Source organism: Homo sapiens, chromosome 5 (assembly GCF_000001405.40).
Source record: "Homo sapiens chromosome 5, GRCh38.p14 Primary Assembly".
NCBI lineage: Eukaryota > Metazoa > Chordata > Mammalia > Primates > Hominidae > Homo > Homo sapiens.
The window spans coordinates 53,669,448-53,685,008 of NC_000005.10; the positions used below are offsets into that span (position 1 = coordinate 53,669,448).

At 34.9% G+C, this 15,561-nt stretch overlaps 1 protein-coding gene across 5 annotated transcripts in view, besides 1 other annotated feature; it reads left to right on the forward strand.

The window, feature by feature from the left end:
- Positions 1–13,891, forward strand: part of NDUFS4 (NADH:ubiquinone oxidoreductase subunit S4) — a 122,700-nt gene extending 108,809 nt beyond the window's left edge. For all 5 annotated transcript variants that reach the window (NR_134475.2, NR_134473.2, NR_134474.2 and 2 more), the window contains one exon: positions 13,671–13,891. Coding sequence is in view for 2 of the 5 variants with exons in the window: in NM_002495.4 (NP_002486.1) it covers positions 13,671–13,774 (104 nt within the window). In the remaining 3 variants the exon portion in view is untranslated. The remainder of the gene's footprint in view (positions 1–13,670) is intronic.
- Positions 1,700–2,684: an enhancer, noted in NCBI's record as "OCT4-NANOG hESC enhancer chr5:52966977-52967961 (GRCh37/hg19 assembly coordinates)". NCBI's record gives its function as "activates a minimal SCP1, AML or CMV promoter by ChIP-STARR-seq in naive and primed H9 embryonic stem cells {active_cell/tissue: H9 hESC(naive and primed)}" and the evidence as "EXISTENCE:reporter gene assay evidence [ECO:0000049][PMID:30033119]".

Here is a 15,561-nt window from a genome sequence, read left to right on the forward strand (position 1 = left end):
GTCTTCATTTCATATGCTGTCTCATTTCTTCATCCCTTTTCTTATTCCCCTCCTTCACTTGCACCTCCCATCTACTACTGGATGAACTCCTCTTTCTTCCTTTTAACTTTCACAATAATTTGTTCCTTTCTTGCAGCTCTTATAGTATGGTTTTCTCTTTTACCTTTTTTGTACTGCACTCAGTCAGAAGCATGTTGAACACACCCTATTGTATGTCAGCGCTGTATGGCTAGGCTCTGGGGATAAATAAGGCATAGTTCTTACACTCAAACTGTAATATTTTATCCTGCCTATTGGATTATAAGAATTTACCAGGGAAGACAAGTCCTATTTATCTTTTAATGTGCTCAGTAAATATTGGTGAATTTAGCAGCAAATTTAGTAACGTTGTAAATGATTCTCCAGATTATGCTTTAAACTTTTCTTTAAATCACCTTAATTTGGTGACTTGTTCTTTTTTTAGAAGAACTGTTGATCTGTTAATTCCCTGTAATTAGAAACCTGAAGAAAGAAAGCTATAGTAGGATGATTAACAATTTCTTATATTTTAGTGTGTTTGTAAAATAAAACTAATGAATGTTTTCCTGTCAAGTTAATTTGGAGTTTATCCTGAGTTTATTAAGGATTAGCATCCTGAAGTGTATTGAAACAAAATGATTATTTCATAATGTTTGAATTGCTTCCAAACTGCATGTTATTTATTCTAAACTCTCCCTCTGATAGGATACCGAGACCTAGAGAAGTTAAGAAAACAAGCCCCAGATCAATCACATTGCTCCTGACAGCACCTAACCTTCTAGATTCCAAGTCCAATGGTTTTCCTGGTACTATGATGCTAGTAGATCTTAAAAAATAATAATCTAGATCTACACTATCCAATATGGTAGCCACTGGCCACATGTGATTTTAGCTCTTGATATGTGTTTAATTCGAATTTAGATGTGCCGTAAGTGTAAAATGCACACTGAATTTCAAAGACTTAGTATGAAAAAAAAAAGTATCTCAATTTTTATTACATGAAGTGATAACCTAGAAACACTGGACGAAGTAAAATATTATAAAAATTAATTTTACATATTTCCTTTTATTTAATGTGGCTACTAGAAACTTATGTATGGCTCACATATTTCTACTGAACAGCACTGATATATTTGGCAATATACAGGGTATACATTATATATATATATATATTCTATGTAAATAGTTCATTAAATAATTCCTATAGTAAATATGAGAAACAGGAAACTCATATCCAACTTGGAAAAGTTCAAATATAATACTTATTAAGAAATACAGTTCTATTCTTCAGGTACTCTTACCTAGAATGAATTAAGGATATGTAGAAACTCTTATGTTACTTATAAAATAATAAAGAGATACTGTAGGTCTCTACAGAGATACTATAGTGTCCCTATAGTACCTCTAGAGTATAGTATAGAGATACTATAGTATCTCTTTACTATATAGATATATGGAATAGACTATAGAGTATCTCTAGACTATATATTATTTATACTCTACTATCTATATAGTATCTCTATATAGAGAGATAATATATATACTCCATATAGTATACTCTAGAGATGCTATAAGTTTCTGTAGTATCTTTATAGTAGAGATAATAGGGAGGGATAATAGTATAGGGACGTACTATATACCTATAGTATCTCTATAAGTACACAAGTTCCCCCATTAATCATCTGTTTTCAGTTGTTAACCAAATAAGGTATTATGCAGGCTCATCTTTTTATATAAGAATACTCTACTCTTGTTTTTGAGATGAAAAGAAGTTCTCTTTCTCCTGCTATTGATAATTTCTGCAGCTGTCCCCTCAGCTTATATCTTTTTTGCATAGCTCTCTCTTCTTTACCTCACTTCTTATGGAAGGCTGGTGTTCTGAAATTGGGGAGTGGAAAAGAAGAAAAGACTGAATGCTCCCTATGACTTCATTTTCTCCCTGTTCCCACTACCATGTCCCCAAACATACTGACACACAAAGAAAATATAAATACCCCTGATTCTTTTAGCCTTAAACTTAGGGCCTCATCCTAAACATCTTAAGCTCAGCATCTATTCCAAAGGAACTCTTTAATGATAACGTTTCTTTGTAAAGAGACGAATATCATCTGGGGTTTCCTCTGAAATGTAGATGAACCTCACTTCAGTTCTTTGTGTACTAAAAAGACCCACCCTTCTCACCCATGTGGCTTTTGTCTTTCCTTGTGTTATGTAATAAGTGATGGGGTAGAAGGATGGGGGGTGGAGGAAGCTACATCATGGAGAGAGGAGGTAGAAGACAGCTGTGGAAAATTTGGATGGTGGAAGACTAGAATCTACTACCATTTACATGCTAATGAAAACCAGAAATGGTCTTTTTTCCCCCGTTTGATCTGATTTGAAAGTTTGTGACTTTTGTCTAGTATGTCATTTTACCCCCTGTGTTTTTCTCATTGTTGTTAGCTATAAAAACTCTTTGAAATTCTCAAAATAAAGGAAGGTTTCTTTCAGGAATAGGAGGGCTGAGGACAAGCTGTGAAACTGCATTCTTCATAGTGGGTCTATTGGGGTGGAAAACCCGCCTCTGAAGTAATAGAAGGTAGAAGCACGGAAGGAAACAGGTCTGGCCCTGGATCCAGGAAAATAAAGAAAGAAATAATTGGAGATGTAGCTTAGTACTTAGAATTATCCCAGAAGTGAACAACATCAGTAAGGTCTGGGCTTCCACCTAACGTAACCTCTTATGAGGGTCTCAACCTCACATCCATATATCTTTTAAAAAAACAAAACAAAAAAAAAAACTTTCAAAACAAAGGCAAGAATCATGACTTTCATATAGGTATAAATTGCAAGTAAAAATTTATTTTACTCATATAAGGGAACAAGGCAGGTGTTACAACCAGTTCAGAGTAAAAGTCAAAACAGCACTAATTCATGTGAAATAAAAAAACGTAGTGAATTGCAAATAGAGGCAAAATTGGGTTTTGGTGGGGGAGGTCTATTAAGTAGAACACAGGACAGAAATTACATGTGTATCAATTGTGTACAACCTAAAAAGAGTTGCCAAGTAGCTAAAAGATAAGGAACTGATCTAAAATCTGATAATCTAGAAGGGGAAGGGTGTGCCAGAGACAATGCACAGTTTTCCATTGAAACAAAGGTTTTTTTTTTCTATTCCTTCTCCATTTTGATTAGGAAATAATCTCAGCAAGAGATTATTTGTGATCACAAAATAACATTGGTATGATATTTAGCCTTATTTACATAGGTGTAGCAAGAGTGTTAATTTGTCATATATGCTTTCTTGTATGCTTTGGTGAAAGTTTTTACAAGGAATCTCTGATTGGACTTTGAAGTCTCTTGAGCTAGGAAACCACACCAAGAACTTGCCACTAGATTTAAAATCTAGTAAAAAGATTCAGTAAGTCTGGAGTATGGCCTAAATATCGGTATATTAATAAAACTCAGATAAGTGACATTGATTTCCAGTTGACATTTACTGGCCTAGAAGATGCAAGATTTAAACTACAGAAGTAAAGATGCAACCAAGTTAATATTTTTAAAAATAACAAATTATGACTGATAAACTATACTGTAATTATTTGCTGGGCAAAGCAGTACAAGGACTCAGGTAAATAGAACACATCTTGAGCAGTGAAGGCATTGATAATTCCCCAGGAACTTACCATATAGCATACAATTTTGGTTAATAACACTTTACCCATGAAATTTAACCTTGGGATGGCTAAACATCTTTTCTGCATTGACAACTTTTCTCATAGTTGACAACTGTTCTCAAGTAGCTTGTTAATAATAGCATATAAAATAAACCTAATTATTTTTTAGCACCTCTCTTTTCACAAAATGAAAGAATGTATCTTTGTGATTTTCCAGAGGCCCTCTAGGGAATCTCAGAGATAATTCTAGGTGCAATGATATCCTGAAAGTTTTATTTTACATTTAGGATTCAGTTTTGGGAAGGTAAATATCAAAAGTTGTCCGGAGATGTGAACAGTTAGATATAGAATCATAGGTACCTGAGAAATGATATGTGGCCACTCATTGCAAAGTCACAGTAAAACTTAAATATAGAAGGTAATATGATGGTAAAGAAAGAACCTTAGCTCTTACAATGATAAGACATTCTCTTTCTCTTTCTGGCACAATCAGTCACTTTACTTGAGGACATAACTATTCTTTTTCCTTTAATAAACAAAAACACATCTCATAACCTTGCATTGCAAAGTTTTACCTCTCTGCCACCATTTCTCCTATTCCAGTTTCATTTATGTGTATCTTTTAACCAAAGTGACTGATTCCATAGAGAAACTGGGAGATGGAGAATTGAAAATGGTTACACGTCAGCATTTTAGTAGACTAGCAGATCTCATAAATACACATAACTTTCTATAGCTATATGCATTCCTTATACTCCAACTTCTCCAGGTGGCAAAAATGAACATGTTCATTAACCAACTCAGAGATACAGCCTCTCTGTAGCATATGAAAATAAGTAGCAAGAGTTTATAAATTTAAAATTTTGCCTAGTAATTATAGTGGAGAAAAGATGTCTTTTCTCACCCATCACATAGGTTCGTCTCCTATAATAAAAGACAGTTAAAAATAGAAAAGCACATATTTATTTAATGTAAGTTTTATGTGATACAGGACGCTTTAGAAATGAAAACCCAAAGAAACAGGAATACTTGTGTATTTTATGCTAAATTTGAAGAAAAAGTATATTGTGTGTGGAAATATGACTGGATAAAGAAGGTATGATCCAATAGTAATAAGCTAGAGAGAACTTAGCTAGGCCTGTTTGTTCAGATTCTTCTCTTAAGTCCATCCCTCTGTGATATTCCTTGCCTCTGGGTGATAGGGCACATGAGTGTCTTATGACTTCTTCCACGGGAAGGCCAGAGAATTATTTTATGGTCTACTTCAAGGTACAAGGGTGGGAGGAGGTCAGAGTGGCCTTCCTTCTCTGTTTCTTCAAATGCCAAGGTGCCATTATTTTAGGGTAGCATGTCCTGAACCCTATCATTATCAATGGATTAGTATTCTGTCTTACTTAGAAGAGATCTAGGGTTCACAACTAATTGATCACAACCGGTTACAGATATCATTATTCCTTTTCCACTCCCACAGCTTGACTCCACTAGCCTTAAAAAATAATTAAAAAAATAAGAGATCTGGATATCTAATAAATATCTATTAATTACCTGACAATCTTGGAAATTAATTTTGAAGGTGACATATTACAAAACATAATTATTGTTGAAATAAAATTGTCAATAATGAATCAATTTGGTTAATTGTAAGTTTACATTTTTTCTTGACTAAACATTAAACAAGTAATTTTGGCTTATTTGATCAGTAAACATGTATAATTAAAAAAATACGCAAGTGGAATAAAAGTCTGTTTATATATTTGACATTGATAAACCAGAGAAAACCTTGCTGTTTTATTAAACCAAAATTATTAGTCTTGTTTGTCAAGATTTACCTACACGATATGAACTTGAAGTCTCAAAATGTTTGTTAGTTGCTCTTAGAGTACTTTTTAAGTACTCTTAAAAAGTACTTGTAGCTTAAAATAATTTCTAGCACACTGAAAAGATTAGAAGTTCCATTTTCTTCTCTGAAAATTTTAAGATTACTCAATTTACATAATCACTTACTTTTCTCTATAAGCTAATCAGAACAGAGTTCCTTTTTTTTTTTTTTTTTTTTTTGAGGCGGAGTCTCACTCTGTCACCCAGGCTGAAGTGCAGTGGCTGCAATCTCAGCTCACTGCAAGCTCTGCCTCCCGGGTTCATGCCATTCTCCAGCCTCAGCCTCCCGAGGAGCTGGGACTACAGGCGCCCGCCACCACGCCCAGCTAATTTTTTGTATTTTTAGTAGAGACGGGGTTTCACCTTGTTAGCCAGGATGTTCTCGATTTCCTGACCTCGTGATCCGCCCGCCTTGGCCTCCCAAAGTGCTGGGATTACAGGCGTGAGCCACCACGCCAGGCCCAGAGTTCCCTAAAAAGACTTTATAATCTAATCAGTGCCACCTGAAGGTAGAAAAGCCTTATCTACACGCACAATAAGGCTTTTCTCTATACAGACATTGATAGACATACAGTCACACAGAGTTTATAACTTCAGTTCTAAACTTTCAGCCATGAATTAATAATACAAAATGATGAAATACCAAAGAGCTGTTCTTTTCTGAGGACAAATTATTAATTGATTTGAGTCCAAAATAGATTAACAAACTAGATTCTCCATTTTTTCTCACCCAATAGAGAATAGACCTCTATAAACCATTAATCCATTTACAGGGATCATCAGATGGTCAGATTGCAAAACCAATTCCCCAGATTAGTAGAGAGCAAAAGACCAGAGTCAGAGTCAGCAGAGTTCTCTTACTGCTTTGGATTCACCTTTTAGAGCCAAGAAAAGAGGTATGCAGGCTTAAGCATAAGGTACACCATTTCTTCGATGATGAAGTTTGCCTGCCTTTGGTTGATAAATCTATAGGATGTCTCAAGGGGACCTCCAAAATGGTTAAAAGAAATTTTCCAGAAAAAGATACATTGACTCTAGCATAGATATACAATAAACATGTATTGAAGGATTTTACTCATCTGATATAAGGGAGCCAGGCAAATGTTATAACCAGTTCAAAGGACAAGTCAAACAGCACAGATTTATGTAGGGTAAAGAAATGTTGAGATGAGTTGCTAATTGAGACAAAACTGATTTTTCCAGGACTGGGTTGAGAGGGGAGTCAAATCTATGAGAGAGGACAGACTTTATGTATCTCTCAATTATAGTTGTTCTCCTTATTCACAGTTATGTTCTTTAAAGTCACTATGAAACACTAAATTAGCAAGAATTCTTATCCCTCGGGATATACATGGTTAGGTTCCTGCAGGCCTCTGGTCACATAGTTTGTCGTCTGACCAGTACATAACCTTGTTTTATATGTGTTTTTGTTTAAAGACACCTTATTTAATACAGTTAATTCATCAACATTGAACTCACAGCCAACAGCACTATAACTCATGCCTAAACAAAGCGTATCTGAAACACATATTGGCACATCACAGCTTTCTTGGAACACTAGATAACATTTCAGCAGTGTTTGGGGACCATTTTAAACAGTGAAATTACCAAAAAGCAGCACAGAAATGCAAAATACTGGCACTAAATAGAGCACAAAAAGTATGCTTGTTTACAGTATGAGAGCTAAAACAAGAAGGCAGAGCATTATCCTGCTTCACCTCATTTAGAAATGTATGTTACGGGACTCAAATTTTTTGACATTCTCCACATGTCACAAATGACCACAGAAGCACCATGGGCATTGATTTAGGAGTCACAAATAAACTTTACGTGAATTCATGAAAGATTTTTTTTTTCATAGATAGCTTTTTCCTCCCAATGTTTAATCCTGGATCCTGTCTGTAGCTAGGGAAGTACTGCTAAGGCGCGAGCACGAGAGAGAATTATATATGGTGGCTTACTGACGTTCCTGGTATATTATAGGTTAAATAGGATTCTGAGACTCCCTATGAGTAGCTTGCAAATCTCTGGAAGTGGTTTTTGGCTATTTGTGTAGTTTTTTTCTCCAGAAAAATGTGTTCTAAATTTCTAATGGCTGATTTTCAGATATACTTTTGGAACACAAAAGCTGGAGTAATGGATTACTACCTTGGTTTGTTTTGTGGCAAATGCTGAATAGTTCCAACTACTGCTTTGAAAATAATAGAAATATTACATAGCAAGTATATTATTTGAAAAGATAAAATTTCAAGGGGCCGTTGACTGTCACATCAAAGCAGTAATTTGGGGTTTGAGAGGTGGCAATACTCTACAGCAGGTGTAGAGTATTACTAATCTAACAAATATTTCAGGTGCCTCATGTTTTCACCTTATTTGCTTGTTTAAATCACTTTATATAAATTTCATGGAAAGACTTGCTTTGCCAGTGTATCCGAAACCTCTGTTATTTCTCCATAGTATTTTCTATAGAAGATCTAGGATACTTTTACATTATTCTGAACCATTTACCCCCTACTGTACCCCACCCCCATATTATGTACCTAATTGGTAATTTCAAAGTAAAGAGACTTTTAAAGTGAAATTCCTAAAAAGCTATTTTTCTTTTCTCCTTCTTAAAATTATATGTTAGGGTTATGCTCCGCTTTCAGCCAGATATAATATGGGTACATAGCCTGGTGAAGAATCTTGAAACCTTCCAAGTACCAGTATACCTTGCTTTGGCCTCCCAAAGCTTTGCTCTTCTGATCCCATGCTTCAGTTGGAAGTGACTGTCAGTTACGTCAGTTTGTGCCAAATTATGTGGTAGTTCTTGTTCTGTGTACAAATGGAGAGTAGGAAAAATCATTTAGCTGTTCACTTCCAAACTCATGTCAGGGTTTGAGATTAGGTTATTAGAGAAGACAGACCTTTCACAGAACGTCAATCAAGGTTACTTGAGATAAAATATTTCACAAGCAATAAAAGAACTGATGGATGTTTGTATTTTTGTATTACTGAACCATAAATGAAATGATTCTGTATAAAAATGAATGAAGTTGATTTTATTTTTCTGTCTTATATATGGAATTCATAAGTTAATTGTGGCCTGGTTTTGTTCAGAGGTTGGGGTTTTTTGGCATTTGAAAAGTATATCATTTATATCATAGGAAATAGAATATTCCACTCACAATGTGGAGATCTACAAAATAAACTGTCATATTTCAGAAAAAGAAATTGGGCATGGGATGTTAAAGATCACATTTTAAGTTTACTACAGCATTTTCCAAAGGTACTTCTCTGATACTAGGGCTTAAAGTTCAGACTATTTTGTGAAAGCGTTTCAGTGTGTGAAACAGCAAAGGGAGTCAGCTTCTCATCATTTAGGTGCTGGTAGTTGGGTTTGTGGCAAATCTGTGCCATATGGCTACTCTCCTCTAGAAAGTGACGGCAGCACTGGGAGCTTTACCTATCCCTAGGGCAGCTGTCTTGGACTCCATTGCTTTGATCTTCTTCTGTCGCACAGCTGAGAAGAGCAAGGGGCTGGTTTTCAGTACCCTAATAGGACAACATATGGGACCATTATGATTGTAGACTATACCTTCATTTTATATAAGCATTCTTCAGAGAGTGCAAGTATTTTCACTTCCATATTCCCATTCAGAAAAATAAGTTTGGGCTCTTTCTTTTAAAAAAAATTATTTTAGGGTTAAAGAAAGACATTCTTATAGAAATTTAAACATTTAATATCTACATTTTATTTCTTGCAAAATACATCCTTTTTAGCAACAAGTTTCAAATAGGAAGTAGAAAAGATGAGTATAATTCGTCTAACTTACCCATTCTTAAGCATACATGCTTAATGTCCTTTCAAGTGTTGTTATTCTTAGAGTTTTATCTTTTTAGCTCAGCTTCCCTGTTTGCTCAAGTAACCTTTACATTCGAGTATAGTGGGACCAGTAAATTTGTTCATCCAGGTACTGTAACAAACACCTTGGAGGAGGATGCTTGGAAATGTGATCAGATTCTTAACAGTACCTCAAAAAACAGCAAATTTTTATTATGATGACAGCCCTACATAGCAGAAAAGTTTTCTGAATAATGAATAGAAAATCCAAAGAGAGATGTATGTGGATTCTTACTTTAGTTTTAGTCTCTATTGTGAATTGTCATTGGACTTCCTCATATGCTCCTTTGCGTTTAGAGAAGCACAGTTGCATGTGCAACTTTGGAAACAAAGTTGTTTGCCACAGAAAAACGGGAAGATAATAAATTTTTTTTCCCTACACATCCTAACAATCATGAGTGGTCAGTGGTAATTATATAGAGATGGATCCTATTAGAAAATGCATGCTTCTTCTCTGTGTATTTTTGTTTGTTTTTCACAGGGTGCTTTGCCCATCCACATTCCAATCTCTGTCATGATACTTCTATTTATGTTGTTATCACCATCAACAGCAACTGTAATCTGGCTCACAATTCCCAGGAGCCAGCTCACTCCTTAGTTACCAGGGGAAAACCCAAACCAGTTGTTCTTTTCTTTTATATGTATAAAACTTCATTCTTCTCACATTGCAGTGACCCTGACCACATTTTGGAACTCCATAACCAGAATAGATATTAGAACTGTGTCTGAGATCTGATGTAGTACAGAGAATTCTACCTGGCGGCTGAAAGGGTAATTGAGTGAATGAGAGAGTGATTATCAGGTTTGTGTTTGTGTGTATATTACTATTTCCTAGATATTTGAGTGCTTTCTCATTTCTTCTGCAGTTTCTTTCCTAATGTCTTTATTGACCTGGAGAGTGTGTGTTGGGAGGTAATAAGAGGAGAGAGAACTTAGGTTTCTTACCTATCATTTGGCAAGAAAAGAATATGGAGGTCTTGGGTTAATTTTCCAGCTATCATTATAACCACATACAGAATCTACACTAGAAACCATTTCCTTCCTCACAATTGTGGGAGAGCACATGGGGAACATATATTTATTTTACAGGATTCTTAAAAGTCTTTTCAACATATTTTTTCAAATAAAAGGAAATGAATGAAATAGATAAAACTTGCAATTGCGGGATATTTTTAAAGAAATGCAGTTTTATTAATAAAGTACTTAGGTGTTAACGTCCATCTTGGTTAAAATCCTGGTTTTGCAACTTATTAGCCCTGTGACCTTAGGCTGTTTATTTTCTCGATATTTTTTCCTTTAAGGTAATGTAAAATTAAGATATATATTATAATGCCTTCCTTATAGCCATGCAACCTATAAACTCTGTACATAAAATTTCAATAAAAATACATTTCAGTGTGGCGATTCCTCAGGGATCTAGAACTAGAAATACCATTTGACCCAGCCATCCCATTACTGGGTATATACCCAAAGGACTATAAATCATGCTGCTATAAAGACACATGCACACGTATGTTTACTGCGGCACTATTCACAATAGCAAAGACTTGGAACCAATCCAGATGTCCAACAATGATAGACTGGATTAAGAAAAAGTGGCACATATACACCATGGAATACTATGTAGCCATAAAAAATGATGTTGAGTTCATGTGCTTTGTAGGGACATGGATGAAATTGGAAATCATCATTCTCAGTAAACTATCGCAAGGACAAAAAACCAAACACCACATGTTCTCACTCATAGGTGGGAATTGAACAATGAGAACACATGGACACAGGAAGGGGAACATCACATTCTGGGGACTGTTGTGGGGTGGGGGGAGCGGGGAGGGATAGCTTTAGGAGATATACCTAATACTAAATGATGAGTTAATGGGCGCAGCACACCAGCATGGCACATGTATACATATGTAACTAACCTGCACATTGTGCACATGTACCCTAAAACTTAGTATAATAATAATAAAAAAATACATTTCAAGCACTCAGCATGGGGACTAGAACATACTACCTAGTACACCAGGAATGCTCTTGTCTCAGGGCCTTTGCAGTTACTGTTCTCTGCCTACTTCTCAGGGAGGGAGGTCTCCCCTGTATACCCCATCTAAAGTGTTTTCTCCTAGGTTAGATTATAGCTAGCTATACCCGAAACAACACAAATTCAAATTTAATGGGCTCTAATGTAATGGAAATTTATATAGAGACATGTTGCTATGAAGTTGTGAATCAAATTTGAGGACCAAATAATACTTAACATTTATTGAGTGCCTACTATAAACCACAAGAGACAATGTAGCATAATAGGTAAGTTGTAGCCTCCAGAATCTGGCCGTCTGTGTTTAAATCCTGATTCTGCCCCTTCTTTGCTGAGTGACCTTATGCTAGTTACCTAACCTCTCTGAGCCTCAGTTTACTCACCTGTACAAGGGGAATAATATTACTTCATATAAAGGTTTTAGGAAAAGTTCTTTCTCATAGAACTCAATAAATGATTGTTAAGTCAGGGTGCTTTCTAAGCACTTTACATGAATTATCACATCCTTATGAAGTACAAGACATGTACTTTAATCCTCATGACAACCTTATGAAAGACAAAGTTTTCTTATGCCCTTTAGTAAATTTTTTGAAATGGAGATAACTACTTGTTAATGTACGTACTTTGTAAGTCCACATTCTCTTAAAGTAAGCTATAGCTTTGTAACTTTAATGGATAAGAAAGTTCTCAAAACATATTTTCTACTCTGTGAAAGTAAGGTTATGTTGAACAAGTAAATTAATATTTTCTCTCCTGGATTCTGATGTTTCATTTGCTTTCCTGCTTCCCCATTTCCTTATAGTTATTGGACTTTCTTTGGAGATGGAGTTCCAGCAGTTGGGAATGTAATATTCTCTTATGGATAAAGTAGATTAAAAGTTTAAATTAAAATACGCTGTTAAATGTTGTTACTTTCCTTTGTGTACAGTAGTAGTAGTATACTTTGATGAGTTGAGTTCCATAGGCTTAACTTTTGTGGTAAAACTGAATACTAACTAAGGGACTATTGAAATGTAAGCTTTGTGGCAGAAAGTACTATACTTACCGAGATCAAGAGGCTCACTTAATTAGACTATATAATAAATAATCACATTTGGGACATTTTGTACATGACTGCATGATACAGCCATGAATTAGATGTTTCAAGATGTTATTTGAATAAAGTCCTGAGAGAAGAATAAATTACAGGTGTGGGAAAATGGATTTTATGAAGAAAAGTGAATGTTATAGGGGTTGCCTAGCTTAGGGAATAAAAGAATGACTTAATTATATTTTTAAGGAGGAGGATGTTGATTTGTTTCCCATGTTTTAGGAGAACTAAAGAACAGGACTAGTGCAGAAAATGTAGACATACATATACCCAGTTTTCAGAATTACAAAATGCTGAAATGGCTTTGGAAGGAAAATATAAATACTCAGAAGAGAATAGACAGACACCTTTGATTAGCGGCCCTTACTTTTTTATGCATAAAAATCTCCTGGAATTGATAAAGTGTAGTTTCCTGGGCCCCCACCAGAGATTCTGATCTAGTGGGCCTTTGGTCAGGCCTAACAATTTGCGCTCTTTATCAGGTACTCCCATCTGAGTCCAATTAGTGCAGATAGATAGCCATTGAAATAAATGTTGAAAATCAATTTTTGAGTTTAATCAGTAGCCTGTCCAAGTCCAGGGGATTGAACCAAGTAACCTCTCATGGTCCACTTCAACTATAGTACACACATGCACCCATACACACGTACATATATATACGTTTACATATTTTTCTGTATCCCTTTGGAAGAGTTCCAAACTCTTGTAAAGAAACCAACTTTTAGAATAATAGTGAGTTGGTTATAATGTTCATCGCTCTTCATTGCAACTATTTTAAAGGCCTATGTTAAACCACATAGAGTAATGGAAATTTTTATGTAATACATAGATATCAGTAATTGAGCAAGGTGAAATTGAATCATAGTTTACATCTTTAACAACTTGAGATATGGTAAATAATCTGCAGGCAATCTTTTGGACCCTTTTCTCACAGAGGATTGATTATAAGGGAACAAATAGTAAGTATATCTCAGATGTGTTGACATATACTCTTGATGATAAATGAACATTAAGTTAAGTTATAAAAGCTAGCCTCTGCTTGCTGTGCTTTTCAGGTATCCTCTTTAATTCTGTTTCTGTGGATTTGTCTTTGTTTTTTCCTCCTAGGATGGAGCTATGACATTGAAGAGAGGAAGGTTCCAAAACCCAAGTCCAAGTCTTATGGTGCAAACTTTTCTTGGAACAAAAGAACAAGAGTATCCACAAAATAGGTTGGCACTGACTATATCTCTGCTTGACTGTGAATAAAGTCAGCTGTGCAGTATTTATAGTCCATGTATAATAAATACATCTCTTAATCTCCTAATAAATTGGACCTTTAAACTACAGATACATTTTGTGGTGTCTATTTTAAATGTTTTTTGATGTCTCAAATTGAGCATGTTTCAATTTCCTATATAGAGAGAAGATTTGAGGTGATCATACCTCTGGGAAATCTTGGTACTTTTAGAATCTATTAATTAACAGGAATGCTTGAAATCAACTGCAACATTGAAGTTTTATATTTGCTTTTTATAGCCATTCTCAAGTTAATATGGTTTATAAATCACCAGCCAACATTATTAAAATGTTGTCTTAGAAATGGTTTTATCATAGGTAGAGAAGTACACGATAACATTGCAGTCTTATAAACTTAAACCCCTATGTCGTCATTATTAAATTAATTTAATTACAACTTTATAATTTACGAAGGTACTTTGAGCCTGAATGAATTGCATTTCATAGTAATCTCTGCCCAGAAATCAACACTTCATGATTATGAGGAGTTCAGGTGAAGATTTCATGTTCTTAGGAATTAAGACTCAGAGAAAATAAAAATCAGTTCATTCACGGGGATTTGTAATATTCACTGTTTTTTTTTTTTTTTTAAATATAAGTAGATAGATATATGCTTTTATTGTTAATCAATCAATCATTTAGGTCATACATTATGAGTTAAACAAACACATGCTTTGTTTTTGGCTATTCAAAGAAAAGAACACTTTGTATACTAACCCTCATAATAACCCTATTAGCAGGAACTATTATTTTACCCATTTTGCAAAGAAAAGACAAAAATCAAGGCTGAAAATGATTAAATAGCCTGCTCAAGATCACACAGGTCATGTGCTGTGGCTCATGCCTGTAATCCCAGCTATGCAGAAAACTGAGGTGGGAAAATCACTTGAAGCCAGGAGTTCGAGACCAGCATGAGCAACATAGCAAGACGCCATCTCTAAAAATAATTAATATAGAAATAAATATAATTTTTAAAATAAATAAATTAGCCTGGCATAGTGGCATTCGTGTGTAGTCAGCTACTTGGAAGGCTGAGGCAGGAGGATGTCTTCACCTCAGGAGGTCAAGGCTGTAGTGAGCTATCATCATGCCACTGCACTCCAGCCTGAGCAACAGAGTAAGACCCTGTATCTTTAAAAAAAAATTACGCAAGTTCTAAGTGCCAAATCTGGGACTTGAACTTATTTATGTCTGTCTTCAAAATTCGTGCTCTATTTTTAGTTCTGAAAATAATTAAAAATAGCTAATGGAGTTGTTAATGTCAGATGATTTCTTAGGATTTTTAATGTTATTTGATGTTTCAAAGTTATAAACTAAATATACATTTTCTTACAACTGCATTTCTGAAAACAGTAGCTCTCATTGACAGTTTTGGAGAGCATATTGGCAGCCTTTTTTCAAAATGTTAACTTCATATTCCATTTAATTTGAAAAATGCACTTACAGGCAAATAGCCTGTAGATATACAGAGGTAAATGTCCAAAGATGTTTATTGTAAAGTTGTTGCTAGTAGCTAAAATGTCGAAACAATCTAAACATCTATTAAAGGGGGAATAGAGTTCAAGAGTATGATACAGCTATTTAAAACAACAAAAAAAGTATATTATTATTAGCTTTTTGGAATGAAGTTCAAGGTATATTGCTAAGTGAAAAACACCAAGAATAGTAGACAAAACATATGTGGGAGTGAAGTGAGGCAGCAGATGCTTACATATATGTA